General features: G+C 47.3%; 1 protein-coding gene across 6 annotated transcripts in view, besides 3 other annotated features; it reads left to right on the forward strand.

Moving 5' to 3' along the window:
- Positions 1-22899, forward strand: part of IL21R (interleukin 21 receptor) — a 49869-nt gene that overhangs the window by 16567 nt on the left and 10403 nt on the right. For 4 of the 6 annotated variants that reach the window (XM_011545857.4, NM_181079.5, XM_017023257.3 and 1 more), the window contains 3 exons: positions 11316-11380; positions 15607-15709; positions 18748-18947. In XM_011545857.4, the coding sequence (XP_011544159.1) occupies positions 11316-11380; positions 15607-15709; positions 18748-18947 (368 nt within the window). Of the gene's footprint in view, positions 1-8530; positions 8622-11315; positions 11381-15606; positions 15710-18747; positions 18948-22899 lie in introns of those variants that run through there. The other 2 variants (NM_021798.4, XM_047434180.1) reach the window with 2 other exon arrangements.
- Positions 3294-3494: a silencer, noted in NCBI's record as "peak2542 fragment used in MPRA reporter construct". NCBI's record gives its function as "represses an SCP1 promoter by STARR-seq MPRAs in K562 erythroleukemia cells {active_cell/tissue: K562}" and the evidence as "EXISTENCE:reporter gene assay evidence [ECO:0000049][PMID:32103011]".
- Positions 12416-12465: an enhancer, noted in NCBI's record as "active region_10625". NCBI's record gives its function as "activates an Ori minimal core promoter by ATAC-STARR-seq in GM12878 lymphoblastoid cells {active_cell/tissue: GM12878}" and the evidence as "EXISTENCE:reporter gene assay evidence [ECO:0000049][PMID:35858748]".
- Positions 19708-20653: an enhancer, noted in NCBI's record as "H3K4me1 hESC enhancer chr16:27449769-27450714 (GRCh37/hg19 assembly coordinates)". NCBI's record gives its function as "activates a minimal SCP1, AML or CMV promoter by ChIP-STARR-seq in naive H9 embryonic stem cells {active_cell/tissue: H9 hESC(naive)}" and the evidence as "EXISTENCE:reporter gene assay evidence [ECO:0000049][PMID:30033119]".

Below are 22899 nucleotides of genomic sequence, written 5' to 3' on the forward strand. Positions count from 1 at the left end.
TTATTGTAATAACACTTAAGTGTTTTCGTGCACTCTTGTACTAACACTTAAGACACAAACACATTGTACAGCTATACAAAATATTTTTCTTTATATTCTTATTCTAAAAGCCTTTTTATATATTATATTTTAAAATTTTTTATTTTTTATTTTTTTACTTAAAAAAATTTTTTTTTGTTAAAACCTAAGACACGCGGGGCATGGTGGCTCATGCCCGTAATCCCGGCACTTTGGGAGGCCAAGGAGGGCGGATCGCCTGCAATCAGGAATTCGAGACCAGCCTGGCCAACATGGTGAAAGCCCCATCTCTACTAAAAATACAAAATTGGCCAAGCATGGTGGCGGGCGCCTGTAATCCCAGCTACTTGGGAGGCTGAGACAGGAGAATCACTTGAACCCGGGAAAACCAACACCACGCCATTGCACTCCAGCCTAGGCAACAAGAGCAAAACTCCATCTCAAAAAAACCCAGAAAACAAAAAACAAAAAATCTAAGACACAGGCAGACACATTAGCCTAGGCCTACACAGGGTCAAGATCACCAATATGACTGTCTTCCACCTCCACATTTTGTCCCACTGGAAGGTCTTCAGTGGCAAAAACACACATGGAGCTGGCATCTCCTATGATAATGATGCCTTCTTCCGGAATCCATCCTGAAGGACCTGCCTGAGGCTGTTTTACAAGTTAACATTTTTTGTTTGTTTTTAAGAGTCTTGCTCTGTCACCCAGGCTGGAGTGCAGTGGCACAATCTTGGCTCACTGCAGCCTCCACCTCCTGGGTTCATGCGATTCTTGTGCCTCAGTCTCACGAATAGCTGGAATTACAAGCACACACCACCGTGCCTGGCTAATTTTTGTATTTTTAGTAGAGATGGGGTTTCACCATGTTGGCCAGGCTGGTTTCCAACTCCTGACCTCAAGTGATCTGCCTGCCTCAGCCTCCCAAAGTGCTGGGATTACAGGCGTAAGCCACTGTGCCCCTCCAACATTTTTTTTTAAGTAAGTACAAGGAGCACACCCTAAAATAGTGATTTAAGATATAGTATAGTAAATACATACACCAGTAACATAGTTTATTATTATTATTATTATTATTATTATTATTATTATCAAGCATTATGTACAATACATAATTGTATATGCTATCTTTTTTTTTTTTTTTTGAGACGGAGTCTCACTCTGTTGTCCAGGCTGGAGTGCAGTGGCGCAATCTCGGCTCACTGCTACCTCTGCCTCCCCATTCAAGTGATTCTCCTGCCTCGGCCTCCTGAGTAGCTGGGACTACAGGCATGTGTCACCACGCCTGGCTAAGTTTTTTGTGTTTTTAGTTGAAACGGGGTTTCACCATGTTTGTCACACTGGTCTTGAAGTCCTGACCTCAAATGATCTGCCTGCCTTGGCCTCCCAAAGTGCTGGGATTACAGGCGTGAGCCACCGCACCTAGCCCTGCATATGCTATACTTTTATATGACTGGCAGTGCAGTAAATTTGTTTCCACCAGCATCATCACAAGCCCATGAGTAAAGTGTTGTGTCATGACGTCACTAGACAATAGGAATTATTCACCTTCATTATAGTCCTATGGGCCCGCCTATGTACATGCAGTCTGTCATTGAATGAAATATCATTATGCAGCACGTGACTGTATTTAACATTTTGAAGAACTGCAAAACTGTTTTCCACAGTGGCTGCACCATTTTACATTCTCACCCTCCGCCCCCTCATTCACACTTGTGATTGATTATTATTATTACCATCCTAATGCATGTGAAGTGGTATCTCATTATGTTCTTGATTTGCATCTCTCTAGAGAGTAATGTCAATGGCCACCTTTTCATGTGTTTGTTGTTTGGATATCTTCTTTGGAGAAATGTCTATCCAAATCTTTTGCCCATTTTAAATTTTAATTCTTGCCTTTTAGATCTTGAGTTGCAAGAATTCTTTGCATATTCTAAATACCAGACCTTTAACAAATACGTGATTTGCAAATGCTTTTTTTCCCATGCTGTATGTTATAGTTTTACTTTCTTGATAGTATTTTTTGAAGCACAAACATTTTAAATTTTGATACAGTTTAATAGATCTATTTTTTCTTTGTTTACTTATGCTTTTGTGTCATATTTAAAAAACTATTATTGTCTCATACAAGGTCATGAAGATTTACACCTAGGTTTATTCTAAGAGTTTAATAGTTTTACTTTTTACATCTAGTCTTTAATCTATTTTGAGTAAATTTTTGTATACGGTGTGAAGTAGAAATCTAGCTTCATTATATTGCATTGTGGATATCCATTTGTGTGGTACCATTTGTTTTAAAGACTATTCTTTCCCCCATTGAATTGTTTTGGCACCCTCATCAAGAATCGGTTAAACATAAATATATGCACTTCTTTCTGAACTCTCAGTTCAATCCCATTGATCTATATGTACATCTATGTGTCAGTACCACAGTGTTGATAAGTGTAGCTTTGTAGTAAGCTTTGAAATAAGGAAGTTTGACTCCTCCAACTGTGTTCTTTCTCAAAACCTTTTTGGCTATTCTAGTCCCTTACATTTCCCTATAAATTTTAGGACTAGTTTGTCAATTTCTGCAAAAAAAAAAAAAAAAAAAAAAAGAGCCAGCTGGGATTTTTTATAGAGATTACTTTGAATCTGTAGATCAATTTGAGGCGTCATCTTGATAACATTAAGTTTTCCAATCTATGAACATGGTATATCCTCCATTTATTTAGGTTTTCTATAATTTATTTCAATAACATTTGTAGGTTTTATTGCACAAGTCTCACACTAATAAACAAATTCATCTCATATTAACATAACTAATGAATTTTGTTAAATTTACTTTAACCATTTTGTTCTGTTTTGTATTATTGTAAATGAAATCACTTTCTTAATTTCATCTTCAGATTATTTATTGCCAGTGTGTATAAAATATCATTATTTGTGTCTATTAATCTTATATTCTACAACTAGGCTAAATTTGTTTATTAGCTCTAATTGGTTTTTGTTCGTTTTAGGTGTAAATTCCTTTAGTTTTGTATATACAAGATCATATTATCTGCAAAGAGAAATGGTTTACTTCTTCCTTTCCAATCTGAAAGTCTTTTATTTCTTTTCCTTACCTAATTGCCTTGGCTAGAACCTCTAGTAAAATGTTTTATAAAAGTCACAAGAGTGAACATACTTGTCTTGTTCATGATCTTAGGAGCAAAGCTTTCATTTCTTTACCATTAAGTATGATGTTAACTGTAATATTTTTATAGCTGTCTGTATCATATTGACCTTACTTTTATTTTTTAAGAGATTTTTTTCTGGATATAAAATTCTAAATTGGCTTTTGAAATTTCAGCATTGAAAGAAGTTGTTCCATTGTCTGCTGTCTTCCATCATTTTGTTAAAAAGTCCCCTGCCAGTCTTATTGTTTCTTCCTTGAAGGTGAAGTGTCTTTTTTTTCTGCATACTGCATATCTTTGTCTTTTATTTTTTAAAATAGTTTTTCTATGATATGCCTAGATGTGGTTTTCTTTGTATTTATCCTATTTGTGGTTTGTAGAGCTATTTAAATCTGTGGCTTAATGTCTTTTGTTAGTTTGGAAAAAAATTTTAAGATCACTGCTATTTCTTCTTACTTGTTTTCTCTCTCTTCTGCTTCTTAATTGCAAATGCATGTATGTTAGATCATTTCACAATGTCTTCTATGTCTCTTTTGCTCTTTTCTGTATTTTTGAACTTTTTTTCTCTGCATGCTTCAATCTTGGTATTTTCTATTGACCAATCTTCCAGTTTACTAATCCTCTCTTCTGATGTTACTAGTATGTTGCCAAATCCATCTCTTCAGTCCTTATAAACTTCAGTTATTATATTTTTCAGTTCCAGGATTTCTACTTTTTAAATAGGTTCCAAATTTCTGATAGAATTTTTGAACACATTAATCATAGTTATTTTAAATCATATCTGATAATGCCATTTTCCAATTCACCTAAGTAACTTTTCTATTGTCTATTTTATCTTCATTGTTGATCATTTGATACTGCTTGTTGGTTTACCTTGTAATTTTAACTGAAAGTTGGACATTATGTATAAAAAGTATAGAGGCTTTGGATGAAGCTAACTTTTTCTAGATCAATTTAAATTTTCTTCTAGCAGACATATAGCATATAAGCAGATTACACCTTGATGCAGTCAAGAATGAACTATTTCTAATTTTTCCTTATTCCCAAGGAATAGTATTTTCTAAATAGCTGGGTACTCACCAGGGCCCATCTTTTTTTTGCCAGGCCCTGAACTCTAATTCTTCCCTCAGCTTGTAAAACTGTGAAAATTCCTTCTTAGTTTTCCCACCTATTAGCAGGTGTTTTTTTGCTAAGTTTCTTGGCATGCTACTTATTTTCAATGACTTTGCACATGATTTGAGGGGAAATTGCATGCAGAATTTCAATGCATTTTTCCTCTCTTAAGTACTATATAAGTTGGCACTCTCTTGTGCAGTTTTTTTTTTTCTGCTTAGTAGTTGCCCTCAGTGGGAGGATTAGTGTGACAACAGCTACTTCATTATAGCCAGAAGTGGAAGTCCCTCATCCATATTTTATTTTACAAAACTAAGCCTCACTTACATTTAAAATGGTATGAAATAGTTTGAACATACAAAAGGGCATAAAATATAATCAACACCCATGGTAGCTTCACCAAGCTTTACCAAACTGTTGAGACCCTTGAACATTCCTCCTTCTCACACCCCCTCCTTTTCCACACTATTCAAAATTTGATGTTATTATCCCCATGAATTTTTAAATATTTTTATGATGGGTGTGCTTACCTAAACAATATATAGGATGATTTTGTATGGTTTTCAGTGTGGTGTCAATGGTGTTATTATGCTTATGCTGTTCTCTAACTTCCTTTTTTCACTCCAAATTTTGTTTGTGAGAGTCATTCACTTTGTTGTGTGTGGCTGTAAATGATTCATGTTTACACTGAGTGACAGTATTGCGATTTATTTTTTCACTCTCCTGATGATGGCTATTTAGATTGTTTCCAATTTTTCACTATTAAAATCAATGCTGCTATAGACATGCAGGAAGAATTTCTTTACCAGTTTACATAAGAGTGAAGTTACTGGGTTTTAGGTAGGGCATGTGTTCGCTTTTATTAGGTCATGCCAAACTTTTTACCAGACCAGTTGTAATAATTTACATTTCCTCTGGCTATAAATGAGAGTTCCTATTATATCATATCCTGAGCAATATGTGATGTCATCAGACTTTCAGTTTTTGCCAATCCGACAAAATTAAAATGGTATGTCATTGTGGTTTTTCTTTGTATTTCTTTTCTCTTCTTTTTCTTTTTTTTGAGATGGAGTCTCGCTCTGTCACCCAGGCTGGAGTGCAGTGGTGCAATCTCGGCTCACTGCAACCTCCACCTCCCGGGTTCAAGCAATTCTCCTGCCTCAGCCTCCAGAGTAGCTGGGATTACAGGTGCCCACCACCACACCTGGCTAATTTTTGTATTTTTAGTAGAGATGGGTTTCACCATGTTGGCCAGGCTGGTCTCGAACTCCTGACCTCAGGTGATCCACCCACCTCGGCCTCCCAAAGTATTGGGATTACAGGCATGAGCCACCACGTTGACCATGAAGTTAAGCACCTTATATTCTCCATAGCACTCACTTCAATCTAATTTCCTGCCCCAAGCTTCTCCATTTCCCCAGAATCTCTTGAAATTTGGTCAACTTTTAGGGTGAATTACAGCAACTCCAGGAAACATTTCTCAGCACTGAAACTGGTGGATAAATGCACCTACAGGACTTCAAATTCGATGACACTTTTAATGCTCATGACAAACCTGCAGCAAAGATTGATGACCTCCATTTTATGGATGAGAAAACAGAGAATCAGAGGGGTTAGAGAACTTGCCCAAAGACGCACAGCTGGGACCTGGCACACTCCAAGTCAGGTGCACTTCACTCCTCCGTAGGAGACTGCAGAGGTTGGGTGCTGCAGCGGTGTGTCAGGCCATTCTTGCATTGCCATAAAGCAATACCTGAGACTGGGTAATTTATAAAGAAAAGAGGTTTAATTGGCTCATGGTTCTGCAGGCTGTACAAGCATACTGCCAGCATCTTCTCGGCTTCTGGTAAGGAGGCCCTCAGGGAGCCTTTACTCAAGGCTGAAGGTGAAGCAGAAGCAGACACATCACATAGCGACAGCTGGAGCAAAAGGGGGAGGCGCCACGCACTTCTGAACAATTAGATCTCAGGTGAACTCACTCATCACCAAGCGGATGGCACTAAGCCATTCATGAGAAATCCGCCCCCATGATCCAATCACCTCCCACCAGGCCCCACCTCCAACATTGGGGATGACATTTCAACATGAGATTTGGGTGGGACAAATATCCAAACCATATCAAGGGGCTCCTGTAGCAGGAAGCCTCCTAAGACACCTTCTGTCCTTGTAGGAAACACACATGGTGGCCCGATCTGTATCTGAGGATAAGGTGCTGTTGCCCTCAGGGGTCAGCCTGCGTGCAAAGACCCAAAAGGGGATGGATTCGGGGCAGAGAAGGCAGTGGAATTAGGGTAGGCCCCATTTGGTGCTGTGGGAGCATGAGGAGGGAGTGATGGAGAAAGTCTGTGTTTTTAAGCTGATGTTTCCCAGAAGTGAGCAGTTTATTTTAAACAGTGTTAAATATCCCTGGATCCCCTAGTGAAAGCGTAGGCTCTTTCATCACTTGCCCTGCTGATGGAGGAGGCAAGATTCTCAATTTGGTGCTATCGCATCTTAAACACTACTCTCTCTTTTTTTGTGTTTTGTTTTGTTTTTTTTTGAGACAGAGTGTCTTGCTCTGTTGCCCAGGCTGGAGTACAGTGGTGTAATCTCTGCTCACTGCAACCTCCGCCTCTTCCTGGGTTCAAGCAATTCTCCTGTCTCAGCCTCCTGAGTAGCTGGGATTATAGGCACACACCATCACACCCGGCTAATTTTTGTATTTTTAGTAGAGATGGGGTTTCGCCGTGTTGGCCAGGCTGGTCTCGAACTCCTGACCTCAAATGATCCTCCCACCTCGGCCTCCCAAAGTGCTGGGATTACAGGCATGACCCAGTGTGCCCGGCCTCCCTTTCTTAACTTTAAACAAAGACAAACCACATCTCCAGTTTCTAGGACTCTCAGGCAGGCAGTAGCATGTCACTAAAATTCAATTACTGCCTTTGTTTTTCTTGTATTTAGTTTTTATGTTGTATTGTATTTAGTTTTATGGTAAGTTGATTGTTTTGTTTAAGTAACACTTATATAATATCTGCTATATGCCAGGCACTGTTCTAAATGCTTTATAAATGTTGACTAATTTAATTCTCCCAAAGACCTATGAGGCAGGTGCTGTGATTATCATTACTCCCATTTTACAGATGAGGCCCAGAAAGGTTAAGCAAACTGCCCAAGGCCACAAAGCCTATAAGTGGCAGAGCTGGGATTTGAACTGAGACCAGCCAGCTCCATAGTCTGTGTCTTGACCAGCATGGCGCACACTGCCTATTTCATGCCAGTTATCTGCTGATGGTCATGATATAATATTTTTGAGACATGTTTATTGGAGTAAAAAATAGGAGGCAAGGTAAAGATCAATAGTAAGTGGATAATTAATAGTAGCACCAGTGAAAACCTCAAACGCAATAGGCTAGTGGCAGGAGTTCTGGAACACTCCAGTGTGGCTGCAGGGATACAGCACATGGACCATGAAAGTTGAGTTGAGAGGATGGGAGGGGAAAGGTGTTGGAGGGCAGGAGTCTGCTCCAGCAGAGGCAAAGATGCATGACGAAGCCTGGGCTGCCGGGGAGACGATGAGTAATTCAGGGCAGTCAGCCAGTAATGGCAGGAAACCCGTGCACTGGTACAGCACTTCACAGTCCGTGAAGCACTACCACATCTGCTTTCTCACAGCCTCTTCTTCACTGCCAGGTGCAGTGAGCACTATTGTCCCCATTTCAGAGATGGTAACTGAGTTCAGAGAATAAAAGAGCCAGAGAAGAGCTACTATTTGCTTCAAGATCTTCTGGCTTCAAATTCTGAGCCCTTTTCTCAACTCCACTGTGTCAGGGATCTTTGGTGGCAAGTGACAGAAATAGAATTCAACATGATTAAGCAACATAGGTGGTTTTTGGCTCATGGGAATGAGAAATCCACAGGGTGGACATCAGATATGGCTGGATCCAGGACCTCCCATGATGCCATGGGGACTCCTGACCTGTATTTCTCAGTATGGCTGTCATTTTCAAGGAGGCTGTCTCTAAGAGGTGACAAAGATGGCTACAAGCTCTGAGAAGATACCAAAAAAAGTGTCAGTTTTCTAGAGTTCTAGAAAAAAAATCTCAGGACTGCTTTCACTGGCCTTGCCTGGGTTGACATCCATCCCTGATGCAATCACTGTGGTCAGACAGATGGGGTGTTTTGATTGGCCAAGCCTGGGTCAGGAGCCCACTTTGTGGAGCATGGGGTGGAGTCAGCCTCAGGCAAACCACTAGAGGCAGCTCAGATAGAGGAGCTCTTTGGGAAGAGACGCCGGGCAGGCAGAAGCAGCAGGTACCCCCTCCACATCCCTAGGGCTCTGTGATGTAGGCAGAGGTAAGAAATTAGGAGGGATGAGGAGTTTTTTGTTTGTCTGTTTGTTTTTTTAAAGACAGGGTCTCACTCTTTCATTCAGGCTGGAGTGCAATAGTGCAATCATGGCTCACTGCAGCCTGGACCTCCGGCACTCAAGTGATCCTCCTTCCTCAGTCTCCCGAATAGCTGGGACCACAGGCACACAGCACCCGGCTAACTTATTTTTACTTCTATTTTTATTTTTGGTAGAGACAAGGTCTTGCTATGTTGGTCAAGCTGGAGATGAGGAATATTGAATCTGGGCAAAGGAGTTTGCACTTTTTGCTGTGCTGTGGTCAAGATAAAACCATCAGGGAGTGACGGGGACAGAGCTATGTCAGGACTCGCACCGTGGCTGGGGTGATGGATGTGGACAGAATAGTGAGGGGGCAGACACAGACTCCCCCTCCTGCGATCAGAGGCCACATCTTCAAAGTGTGATAACAGGACCTCTGCAGGGGTTGGAATCACACAGGATTCATATTCCTAAAAGCAGGTTGAAACTGCATCTACCTCAACATTATTTTATTTGAGTAGTGATGTTATTGCTTAGGATGATGCTGGAGTTAAATTTTTAAGTGTGCTTATCTATAGAAAATATATTAAAATATGTATTAAAATAAACAACAGTGCACACAATATACAAATATGGCCAAAATTTTGGATATGAGATATTTTGGCAACTCTTGGCTAGATCATTCTGAGACCCCCTCTGTTTCTGAGGCTCTACCTTCTCCATCAATTACAGCTGTTGTTTGAGTGTTTATGTGATGGGGGCCATCTGCAGGGTTTTATGCAAATCACCTCCTTGAATTCTCACAAGCCTGGAAGCAGGCCTTGCTGTTTCCACTTTACAAGGCTCAGAGAGGGCAAGGGACTGGCCCGGAGCCACACAGCTGGTCATCTGAACCTTCCTGGCCCCCCAGCCTGTGCCCTGCCCCAGGGTTCTTTGATGGCTCTGTGAGGGAGGTCAGAGGGAACTATGGATGGGGCCAGAGTAGGATCTTTGGGAACCCCGGCACAGAGGAGGAGGATCTTCCCCTTGTGGAGTCAGGGATGGCGTCTGGAGAAAGCCATGCCTGTGACTTGGGTCCTGCATGGGGCATCCCTCTTAGGTTTAGCTTTAGCTCCATTCTTGTCTATAGGGGCTGGTCTGGGAGGGGCTCCTGAGTCTGGGCAGGTGGACCACTGCCCTCTGGCTGGCACTTCCTCAAACAGACACAGAGCTGGTGGGTGAAACAGACAAGTCCCAGGAGAAGCCTGGCATCGCCAGACTGGTGGGGCATTCCTCTGCCCAAGACAGTAGAGGGCACTCTTTCTGGATAAACTCACTCTGCTCCCCAAAGAGGTTCCTTCTCCATCCTGGCCCAAATTAGGAGGTCAGGTTGTCTCTGTTTGGTCAGGCCTGGATTTCCTAGCATGCTCCCGAGTGGGCTAATCTGGGCTTTGTGATGGAGTAAGGAGCCTCATTATTGGGCTAACCTTATCTTAAGTATTCAGCAGTGGTTAACTTTGTGGGTTAACTTTGGATTTATTATTCAGTAAGAAGCCAATTTATTGATGGCTGGGTGCAGTGGCTCATGCCTGTAATTCCAGCACTTTGAGAGGCTGAGGTGGGTGGATCACCTGTGGCCAGGAGTTCGAGACCAGCCTAGTCCACATGGCAAAACCCTGTCTCTACTAAAAATACAAAAATTAGCCAGGCGTGGTGGCGGCCACCTGTATTCCCAGCTACTTGGGAAGCTGAGGCAGGAGAATCGCTTGAACCTGGGAGGTAGAGGTTGCAGTGAGCCAAGATCGGGCCACTGCACTCCAGCCTGGGCGATAGAGTGAGACTTTGTCTAAAAAATAAACATAAAAAAGCCAATTTACTGGCTTTTTTTTACAACATGGATGTTTATAGGAAGGAAGATCCAAAATTGCTCCTCAGCAGATCCCCCTTTCCAAACTAGTTTTTTCTCCTTTTCTCTCTCCCTTCCTCTCTTTTTCCCTCCCTCTTTCTTTGTTAGATAGATAAATACACAAGTTTAATTTCACACACAATGCTACATCAATAGGCTCAGCAAGGGCAAAATAGTCAGCAGTCTCCTCCCTCTTTAAATTCACCTTGTGCTGGGCGTGGTGACTCATGCCTGTCATCCCAGCACTTTGAGAGGCCGAGGTAGGAGGATCATGTGATCCCAGGAGTTTGAGACCAGCCTGGGCAACATAGCAAGATGCCGTCTCTACAAAAATGTTTTAAAAATTAGCCAGGCGTGGTGGCACGTGCCTTTGGTCCCAGCTACTCGGGAGGCTGATGCAGGAGGATCGCTTGAGCCCAGGAGGTTGAGGCTGCAGTGAGCCGTGATTGCGCCATTGCACTCCAGCCTGGGCAACAGAACATGACCCCATCTCTAAAAATATTAAAATAAAATAATAAAACAAATTCACTTTGCATTTGTGACGTGATGGGGCGGGGGCAGGAAGAAGGTGGGAGAAGGGATTCTTGGGGTGAATCTGCCATTTCTAAGAGGTGGGAGTTCTTGGGGTCATCCACAGGCCCCTCGGGATCTTGCATTTTTCTTAAGACAGTTCCAAGAATCAGGGGCAAGTCTGCCTGGGAAGAGACAGGATGAGGGGGAGGCCGGGGGAGCCCTGAGCCCGCCTGGCTCACCCTCCACTGTACGTCTCTTGCAGGCCCGTGGGAGTCAGCATGCCGCGTGGCTGGGCCGCCCCCTTGCTCCTGCTGCTGCTCCAGGGAGGTAAGTGGCTGCCCCGTGGTCTGCGGGTGGGGAGGGCCCCCATCACAGAGCTGAGCCAGGGCCGGGCTGGCTTTCTGGGCTCAAAAACACGGCTAGAGTCCACAGATTCAGAAAAGATGACATCCATGCCCTTGAGGCTGACACGAGTCCAGTAGCCGGCTCTCCACTAATCAGAATCCATCCACCAAAGGGCTCCATGAAACAGAAGCGGTAGACATGAGTCTCAGGTGGCCCAGCCCACAGGCTTGTGTCTTCGGGTGTCACTGGGGGGATGAAAGGCTTCGTCCTTCATTTCCCCTGACCTCTGCCTTGGCTGGCTCCCAACTCTCTGAGTGAGGAAGTTCTGCCTTCCATCTAACCTCAGTTTCTCCTTATGTAATGACTCTCCTTGGAAATGTTTTTCAACAATTGCTGCACCGGGTGCGGTGGCTCCTACTGGAATCCCAGCCCTTTGGGAGGCTGAGGAGGGTAGGTCGCTTGAGCTCAGGATCTCAAGACCAGCCTGGGCAACATGGTGAAGCCCTGTCTCTACAAAAGAAAAAAAATTAGCCAGGCATAGGAGCGCATGCTTGTAGTCTCAGCTTTTTGTGGGGCTGAGGCGGGAGGATTGCTTGAGCCTGGGAGGTGGAGGTTACAGTGAGTCAAGGTGACAACTGTACTCCAGCCTGGGCAACAGAGCGAGACCCTGTCTCAAAACAACAGCAACAACAACAACAATAAACAAACAAAAAAATCGCTAGATTCTTAGCAGGCACTGGTGGTCCCTGGGCTGGGGACAGGAGGAAGAGCCAAAAGGAGACTGAACCTTGGTAGGCAGCCCCCAGAGGACCAGATGTTGTGGTTAGAGGGGGTGACGTTAGAAAGCAGAACTGGGAAGACCAGGAGTCCGACTGAAAGGGCACTGCCTAGGACTAAGAGATCCTGGAGGGCTTCCTGGAGGAGGGGGCCATGAGGAGGCGGGATCCAGCACAGACTTGTGTGGAGGCCGGCCTAGGGGCAGGGGAGGAACTCAACAGCTGCTCTGCTGACTCATGGGCATTTTTCTCTGGTTTTTACCAGAAGACCCAGGACCTCAAATAGCTCCTTCAGGAAACAGATGTCAAGCTTTGATTTTCCCTTTCTGAGTGGCAAGCATCCTCATCTTGGTTCTAAAAAGCCTTTGGGTCACCCACCATGGCTCCACATCTGGCGGGTGCAGATAACAAGCCCTGGCTGCATGCAAAGCTCGGAGCGTCATCCCATTCCACTGTCCCAACAGCCCCACAAGGCGCATGTTGTAATGACGCCCAGTTTTTTGGCTGAGGAGGCTCAGAGAGGCTAAGAGACAGGTGCATGGCCACACTACCCGGAAGAGGCAGAGCTGGGATCAGTTTGCTCTTGGGGTCTGTCTTAGTCTGTCTGTGCTGCTGTAACTGAATACGTGAGACTGGGTAATTTATAAATAATAGACATTTACTGCTCGCAGTTCTGGAGGCTGGGAAGTCCAAGATCAAGGCACCAGCAGTAGCTTTGATTCCGGTGAGGGGCCCATCTTTGCTTTTTTTTTTTGAGACTGAGCCTTGCTTTCTCACACAGGCTGGAGTGCAATGGTGCAATCTTGGCTCACTGCAACCTCTGCCTCCCAGGTTCAAGCAATTCTCATGCCTCAGCCTCCCGAGCAGCTGGGATAACAGGCACATGCCATGGCTAATTTTCGTATTTTTAGTAGAGTTGGGGTTTCACCATGTTGGCCAGGATGGTCTTGAACTCCTGACCTCAAATGATCCACCCGCCTCGGCCTCCCAAAAGTGCTGGGATTACCGCACCCAGCCCCCATCTTTGCCTTTAAGATGCCACATTGAACGCTGCACCACCCCCAGAGGGGACACACGCTGCATCCTCACATGGCAGAAGGGCAAAAAGGGTCTGAATGTTGGGTTCGTCCAGCCCTCTTATAGCATCAATAATTCATTCAGGGGGGCTCTGCCCCCATGACTTAATCATCTCCTAGAGTCCCCACCTTTTAATATGATCACATTGGCAACTGAGTTTCTGGGGAGACACAGACGTCAAACCGTAGCACGGCCTTCACCATGCTGTGCTGCTATCTGTGGAGTGATAGCCATGTGCGGGCAGCATGCAGGCACAGGCATGATCTCATCTCAACACCTCAACAGCCTCTAGGGCAAGCAGTGTCTCCGGCTTACACATGGGGAGGAGAAGCAGTTTTGAGTCACATGTTTGCAGTCACAGAGCTACTTTGTGCACCTCTCACTGCCTCCTGCACGCTTTCATAACCCCAGACATGGGATGGCCCTGGGGCTCTCTGCCCTGTGGCTGGGGTACTGACAGGGCATTTTCCCACCCTCTCATCCCTGGTGCCACCTCCCTGCCACTCAGGGGCTGCCGTTGCCTCCCCAAGTTTGGAGACAAACCCTGTCCCTTGGTAGCTTTGAGCCTGGCTAGGAATGGTAGCTCCTCTCCAAATTCCCAGAGCTCTGAGAAAGAACCACGAGGATACGAACTCAGAGATGACACAGCTACTTAGAGGCTCTGTGTTGAGGTTTTGCCAAAATCAGTCCTGTTTTCTCCACCAAGTGCTGGAACTAGCTCCTTTTCACTCCACCGACAAGTTCTGTGTGTCTCCCTGAGGAAAGCCCCCTCCTAGAGCAAGATTTACTTCCATGACTCAGATCCCTTGGTAGCCACTGCCTCGAGAGAAGTTGAGAAGCATTCCGAGGTCACACCTAGGGGAGGGAGTGCTGTGATCCATTAGCAATATCTGTCATGTGTGCGGCTATGAAAAACTAGCACAGACTAGGTATTTCCTTCCCTGGGTGAGTGTCTCAGCAGCCCAGACCAAGAGAGACAAGAGGCATGGTCTAGTCTTGGAGCCTCAGTGTTCTCATCTCTACAATGAACTAAAGGATATTTCCAGACACAGTATTCTTGGCTCCGCATATAGGTTCTGTCCTAGAGTGAGACCCAGGAAGGGAATCTACCACCACCACCTCAGGGGTCTTCATTAGTCCAGGGAAAATAGGAAAAAGCCACCAAAAATGAACCTACTTAAAAAGGGGAACAAGGTCAGGCACGATGGCTCATTCTTACAATCCCAGCACTTTGGGAGGCTGAGGCAGGTGGATCGCTTGAGCTCAGGAGATTGAGACCAGCCTGGGCAACATGGTGAAACCCTGTCTCTACAAAAACACAAAAATTATCCAGGCATGGTGGTGCACAACTGTAGTCTCAGCTACTCAGGAAGTTGAAGTGGGAGGACTGCTTGAGCCCAGGAGGTGGAGGCTGCAGTGAGCTGAGATCGCACCACTGCATTCCAGCCTGGGCAACAGAGCAAGAGATCCTATCTCAAAAAGAGGTGAGCGGTACAAGTTTCTAGTAAATAGCAGCAAAAAATAGTGGAATTGGCACTCGAATATACAAAACAAAGCTACAAATTATTCCATTGATTTTGTCCACATTTAACAAAATGTAGATGATGATTGCACCCCTGTTTTAGAACACAGCGAAACAATTAATGTTTGGGGAGCAGGATGGAAAGGTGTTAAATCTTCCAACAAAATTGCCTCATAGGGCAATACCTAGAAGACTTCTTGGTGGCGGTGGCATTTTTGGCCGCAGGATCACGCAGACCTTTATGCAAAAGTGTCCGAGGGCTTTTTAATTCTCTCACGGTTTCCTACTCCTTGAAGCACTTCCTGAATCTCCGAGAGTGGGTGTCCTGTGGATCCAACTTCTGTAGAGCCGAGTCCTCTTCCTTGTCAGGGTTTTGGGACATTTTCAGCATAGCTGTCCTTGACTCTATGAGGTCCTGACCCTCTTGGGGTGTGTGCGTGTGCTCTGGCTGGGTTCCTACCACATCTGGGGCATTTAGGATATTGCCATTCTGAGTGGGAGCTTGGCCAGGAGGGACACAGACCTGGTGGCCGGGCGCAGGGCTCTGGAGGAGGGTGCTGAGCTGGGGACCAGCTAGTTTTATATTATTTGCCATCACATGCATCCTGTCTTCATAGCCAGCCTTGAAACATTGGTGCTCAAACAAGGAATTTCCAGGTGGTGAGGCCCCCTGGGTGCCAGGCCTACATCTAAGCAGCTCCTGAGTCCTCATATTTGTCCCGGCCTGGGGACCCCTGCACCCATTCTTCCTCCAGCCCTCGAGGGGATGGAGAGGAAGCTCTGCAGTCCCAAGCCACCCCCCACCAAGGCCTCTCTCCCCACTGACCCTCCAGGCTGGGGCTGCCCCGACCTCGTCTGCTACACCGATTACCTCCAGACGGTCATCTGCATCCTGGAAATGTGGAACCTCCACCCCAGCACGCTCACCCTTACCTGGTAAGTAGCCGGGCCTCACCAGTCCCCGGGGATGCAATTCAGGGTGCCTGCTCAGTGATTCCCCCAGGAGGACACTGTGCACTGAGGACCACTGTGTCCGCCTTTCAGACAACCACTCAGGGCTCACAGGACTTGAAAAGTCAGGAGCCCGCAGGGTTGGTCTATCCACCAGCTTCAAAGGCCACTCTCTCACCCACACAGGTCGGCCATGGTTTTGAGACCCCGGGATGGCTGGTTTCCCGCATGATTTTTCAAGCACTTAGGTACCAGGCCCCCAACTACACGCTTCCCATGAATGGTCACCCCCAACCCTCACAATGATTACTCCCATTTTACAGATGAGGACATTGAGGTTCAGAGAGGTTAAGCAACTTGCCTAAGGTCACACAGCCAGTGAATGCTGGAGCTGGGATTCAAATTCAGACCGCCCAACTCCAAAGTCCATGGGTCCCTTTTAGACCCTATGCAGCTCAGGATAAAGAAGAGCTTCTGTTATCCATCAGCTCATTCATTCATTCAAAACCATTTATAGGCCAGGTGCAGTGGCTCATGTTTCTAACCCCAGCACTTTGGGAGGCCAAGGAAGGAGGATCACTTGAGCCCAGGAGTTTGAGACCAGCCTGGGCAACATCACAAAACCCTGTCTCTACAAAAAATAAATCAGTCGGGCGTGGTGGCACAATCCTGTAATCCCAGCTACTTGAGAGTCTAAGGCAGGGGGACCAAGCTCAGGAGGTCGAGGCTGCAGTGAGCTATGATCACGCCACTGCACTCCAGCCTGGGCAAAAAAGCAAGATCCCAACTCAAAAACAAAACAAAACAAAACAAAACATGTATTAAGTTCCTGCCAGACACTGTTGCAGGCACTGGGGATTCAGCAGAGCAAGACTGACCAGGCCCCAGATGCCTTGGAACTGACGTACCACGGTGGGGCGGAGGCTGGGGGAGACAGACACACAAAACAACCAACAAGGTGCTTTCTCTTTTTTATTTTATTTTATTTTATTTTATTTTATTTTTTTGAGACAGGGTCTTGCTCTGTTGCCCAGGCTGGAGTGCAGTGGTGGGATCAGAACTCACTGTAGCCTTGACCTCCTGGGCTCAAGCAATCCCTCCACCTAAGCCTCCTGAGTAGCTGGGACTACAGGCATGCATCACCATACCTGGATAATTTTTGTAGTTTTTGTAAAGACAGGGTTTTGCCATGTTACCCAGGCTGGATTCAAACTCCTGGGCTCAAGCAATCTGCCCACCTCAGCCTCCCAAAGTGCTGGGATTACAGGTGTGAGCCACCATGCCAGGCCCAAACAGGACACTTTCTTTCTTTCTTTTTTTTGGAGACGGAGTCTCACTCTGTTGCCCAGGCTGGAGTGCGGTGGCATGATCTCGGCTCACTGCAACCTCCACCTCCTGGGTTCAAGCAATTCTCCTGCCTCAACCTCCCAAGTATCTGGGATTGCATCCAGGTGTGCACCACCATGCCTGGCTAATTTTTGTATTTTAAGTAGAGACAGGGTTTTGTCATGTTAGCCCACCTGGTCTCGAACTCCTGGCCTCAAGTGATCCGCCCACTGTACCCGCCTTTCAGACAACCACTCAGGGCTCACAGGACTTGAAAAGTCAGGAGCCCGCAGGGTTGGTCTATCCACCAGCTTCAAAGACCACTCTCTCGCCCACACAGGTCGCCCATGGTTTTGAGACCCCGGGATGGCCGGTCTGCCGCATGGCCAGCCTCCCAAAGTGTTGGGATTACAGGCATAAGCCACCGTGTTCTGCCCCAAACAGGATACTTTCTAATAATACTGGGTGCTATATCAAGGACAGAACACTGGACCTCAGGTAAAGGGACCACAACTGCTAGTGAGAAGGAGGAAGCCAGGGAGCTGGGCAGAGGGCACTGCCAGTGCAAAGGCCCTGTGGGAGAAGAGCTGGTGCGTTTGAGGAATAGGGAGGAGGTCAGTGTGGCTGGAGTGGAGTGAGGCAGGGTGAGGGGGAATAAGGAGCAAGTTCAGGCTGGGAGGCTTGGAGAGCATTTATTCAGCAGGAACTTGTATTCCAGCAAATTTGGCAGAGAACTCAGTCCACACATCCCTACTGGGCCTAGAGAGTGGTCATGTTCAGATCCTGAACATCTAGGTAGGGAAATTAATATCCGGTAAACTACTATACATACTTCAAAACCCATCATTTTTGTCCAGTGGGAGTTAAAAAGCCACAGCATTTTCCCTAATCCCATCCCACCAACTTTCCCAGAAGTCCACCCAGAGGAGGAGATGAGGTTCATTTAGCTCTTTTCCTGGCCCTCAGCACAGGCTATTATTAGATATTCAGTGGATTTGGGGACTGGGCGAGGTGGCTCAGTCCTGTAATCCCAGCACTTTGGGAGGCCAAGGCTGGCAGATCACTTGAGCCCAGGAGTTTGAGACCAGCCTAAGCAACATGGTGGGACCCCATCTCTACAAAAAATACAAAAAGTTAGCTGGGCATGGTGGTGCATGCATGTAGTCCCAGGTACTGAGGAGGCTGAGGTGGGAGGATCAGCTGAGCCTGGGAAGGTCGAGGCTGCAGTAAGCCATGATCACACTACTATACTCCAGCCTGGGGCCAGAGTGAGACCCTGTCTCAAAAAAATGGATGTTGGACAGAAAGGAGAGAAGGAAACCCAAAATGCCTAGCGCCCTTCCTGCAGGACAGCCATCTGGTTGTTGGGACCAACAGGGACAGATTTAGGCTTAGTCCAAGCAAGAATGGCCCAAATTTCCAAAATTGAGAGCTGCTGCCCTAAATGAGGTAGTGAGTTCCTGGCCCCTGGGAGGTGTGCAAGCTGAGCCCGGACACAATTCATTGAGGATGCTGTAGGGGAGGTGATACCTTCCCTGGGAAAAGGTTGGTTGGACCAGGTGACCACCCCCCAGCCCTGCCTCAAATCCCTCCCAGCCCTGAGAGTCTGGGCTTCTGCCCTGGCCCTGAGCACTGAGCCCACCACCATCCCCCCTGCCCCTGGCTTCCAGCCATGACCGGCTGCTTTGTCCTTGAAGGCAAGACCAGTATGAAGAGCTGAAGGACGAGGCCACCTCCTGCAGCCTCCACAGGTCGGCCCACAATGCCACGCATGCCACCTACACCTGCCACATGGATGTATTCCACTTCATGGCCGACGACATTTTCAGTGTCAACATCACAGACCAGTCTGGCAACTACTCCCAGGAGTGTGGCAGCTTTCTCCTGGCTGAGAGCAGTGAGTATCCTGGGACCCCAGGCTTAGGGTGGCACTCAATCTTAGCTCACCGCAGCCCTGACCTCTCTGGGCTCAGGTGATCCTCCCACCTCAGCCTCCCGTGTAGCTGGGACAACAGGTGTACACCACTACACCCAGCTAATTTTTGTATTTTTAGTAGAGACGGGGATCTTGCCATGTTGCCCAGGCCAGTCTCGAACTCCTGGGCTCCAGCGATCCACTTGCCTTGGCCTCCCAAAGTGCTAGGATTATAGGTAGGGGCTGGGTCCCCTACTCCCTGCCCTCTGGGCCAGCTCTCCTCCTTCCATCAGATCTGACCTGGCCTATGTCCTCACTACACCTTAGAGTTCTGTTTTGAGTTGCGCTATTTTTTACTAAAGTGTGAAAGGTTGATAATAGGTTTGAGAGGTATTGAAGGAGCTAGGCTGGGACCCGGGACTTCTGGGTTCGTGTTCCGGCTCAGCTCTGCCCATCTGTGTGACCATGGATGAGGCATACCTACCTCTGGGACAGCTTCCCTATTTGTAGAGCAAATGTCCTTTTAACCCTGACTTTCTGGGATCCTGACCCCATAATGAGGCGAATGGACGACACTGAGTTACAGAAAAAAAAAACCCTCTTGGGTTTTTTCCCCTTCATAAGCTCCAGGGAGGCCTGGAATTTCCCTCCAGGCTGGAGGTAGAGGGGGGTCCCAGGGGCAGGAGGGCCTGGTTGGTGGGAGCAGTTTTATCTGTGAGTTCAGAATTAGGGCAGGTGGCAGGGCGAGGTGGCTCATGCCTGTAATTCCAACACTTTGGAAGGCTGAGGCAGGAGGATTGCTTGAACCTGGGGCTTTAAGACCAACCTGGGCAATATAGCGAGACCTCATCTCAAAACACAAAACAAGAACCAGGGCAGGGGCCAGGCACTGTGGCTCACGCCTCTAATCCCAGCACTTTGGGAAGCTGAGGCAGGTGGATCGTTTGAGGTCAGGTGTTCGAGACCAGCCTGGGCAACATGGTGAAACCCCATCTCTACTAAAAATACAAAAAAATTTGCCGGGCGTGGTGGCACACGCCCGTAATCCCGGCTACTCGGGAGGCTGAGGCAGGAGAATTGTTTGAACCTGGGAGACAGAGGTTGCAATGAGCCAAGATCATGCCACCGCACTCCAGCCTGGGCGTCAGAGTGAGACTCCGTCTCAAACAAAACAAAACAGAACTAGGCAGGGCATGGAAGGGCCTGGGAGGTGGCTTTGGCATGGTGTGTGTGTGTGTGTGTGTGTGTGTATGTGTGTACCCAAAGCGGCCCCAGAGGCAAACACAGGCTGCAAAGGGAGCCTGCCCTCAGGAAGGCCCCGCCCATGAGCTCGGGAGTTTCTGCCGCTAGATTCCCAGCAGAGGGGCTGGGGTATAAGAGGTGTCTGTGATTCACACTCTGGGGGTCCAGGTTTGCACCTCTTTGCTGAGTGGATGTCACACCACAGAGCGTGAGAGTGAAGCTTCACACACTCCCAGACACATGCACACTCACGCAAATTCCCAGGGTCACAGACTCACGCACACACAGACTCATAGATGCGCCCTCAAACTCACAGATGTCTCCCCAGCCCCAGCCTGCATGGCATGGACACAGAGGCCCACACTGCCTCTCTCTCTTGCTCTCTCTCACTCTCATACACACTCACACATACATACACACACACACACACACACACGTACACAATACACACACACTCACACATATACTCTCACATCACTCATACATGGGCACACACACGCACACACTCACACATGCATTCTCACACACGTGTAGACTCACACATGCACACACATATACACTTTCTCACACGTGTGCACACACGCACATATACACATACTCATACACTCTCACATCACACACGGGCACACATATGCACACACTCACACATGCATTCTCACACACGTGTACACTCATGCACAGACACACACATTACTCACGGGCACACATGCACACACTCACACATGCACAGACTCACAAGGGGACCCTCCTTGCCACTTGTCTTGCAGCGTGAATCCAAGCATTTCTCTCTGGCATTCCCTCCCTCCCTGCCAGGATCTGCAGCTAGCCTGGTCCCAGCTGGGGCAGGAAGTGATTTTCTAACCACCTCCCGCCGAGGGTCCCTTCCTCCTCCTGGGCCCTGGGCCTCGCTGGGCTGAGCAGCCCCTCTTCACGACCCCCAGGCTCTGCAAACATCTCCCGAGTACCCACGGGGCAGTTCTCAGTACCCTGGTGTCTTCTGGGACTCATCCTCACCCAGCCACACAGGGAAGCCGAGAGCCGGCCTCCACCTGCCCCGGGGAAGACAAAAGAGGGGTTAGAAACGATTTCAGTCAAAAACATCCCATTACTGGAACAGCAACAGCAACAACCCAGTGTTCACCATGGCATTCTGTAAAATGTGCACCTCTGTCACCTCGGGGCGTGGTGGGAGCCCTCAGTGCGGGTTTCAGGATCACAGGCAGCCTTAGAGCTCCTTTCTGGAGGCCTTGCAAGGTTCATTAGTTAATCTGACAAATATATATATATATATATATATATATAGAGAGAGAGAGAGAGAGAGAGAGAGAGAGAGCGAGCAAGCGCGCGCCAGGGTGTAGCTTTGTCCTCCAGCCTGGGGTGCAGTGGCACAACCATAGCTCATTGCAGCCTGGAACTCCTGGGCTCAAGCGATCCTCCCACTTCGGCCTCCTGAGTGGTTGGGACTACAGGTGCACATCACCATCCTGGCTAATTTTTAAATTTTTTGTAGAGCTGGGATCTTGCTGTGTTGTCCAGGCTGGTCTTGAACACCTGGCCTCAAGCAATCCTCCCACCTCAGCCTCCCAAAGTGCTGAGATTTTTGGCATGAGCCACCTTGCCCAGCCTAATTTGCCAAATATTTATTGAGGGCCTACTGTGCCCCAGGCTGTGTTCTAGGAGCTGTGGGCACAGACTGAACCTGGAGGACAAAACCTCTGCCCCAAGGAGCTAAGAGCCCAGTGAGGGAGGCACATAGTAAACAAAATCACAGGGTGAGAGGTGCAGAGTGTTAGATGGTGGCAGATTGAAAGTGAAGAAGGTGGCTGGGTGTGGTGGCTCACACCTGTAGTCCCAGCACTTTGGGAGGTTGAGGTGGGTGGATCACTTGAGGTCAGAAGATCAAGACCAGTCTGGCCAACATGGGGAAACTACTTCTCTACTAAAAATACAAAAATTAGCCAGTCATGGTGGTGCGCACCTATGGTCCCAGCTACTTGGGAGGCTGAGGCCGTGTAATCGCTTGGGCTTGGGAGGTGGAGACTGCAGTGAGCTGAGATCACGCCACTGCACTCCAGCCTGGGTGACAGAGATTCTGTCTCAAAAAAAAAAAAAAAAAAAAGAAAGAAGAGAAAAAAGAAAGGGAGGGAGGGAGGGAAGGAGGGAGAAAGGAAGGAAGGAAGGAGAACAAAAAAAGAAAAAGTGGAGAAGGTGAGGGCAGAGGCCTGCAACTCCTCTCTGACACTAATAGACACTTGTCACTCAGTTCCTCTGAAGTTACTGCCTTCTGCTAAATAGCTTCATCCCTTTGAACTTGAAGCCCCATGATATAGGAACTGAGCCCATTTTACAAGAGAGGAATTTAAGGCCCTTAACATATTGTGTTCTGCTCAAGTTCATGAAATGTCCTTCGAATGGAGCAAAAACAGAATGCCGGCTTTGACCTTCACCTGGAGGCCGCCCATGAAAGCTTGCTGTTATGGCTCAGAGCTCGGCTCTTGCACTTGCCAGGAGACGCTGAAAGATGAGGACCATCAGATTGGCCTCCCAGGGCCACTGTGGGGTGTCAAACTGCCCAGAGCAGGGCAGCCAGGCAGGCTCTGTGTAAATGGCAGCCCTCACCATTAGCATTCATGCTAAGAAGAGTCATCAACTGCTTGAAGTAGCTGGGGTTGAAAGAAAATGATACCATCAT

The sequence above is a fragment of the Homo sapiens genome, chromosome 16, assembly GCF_000001405.40.
Source record: "Homo sapiens chromosome 16, GRCh38.p14 Primary Assembly".
NCBI lineage: Eukaryota > Metazoa > Chordata > Mammalia > Primates > Hominidae > Homo > Homo sapiens.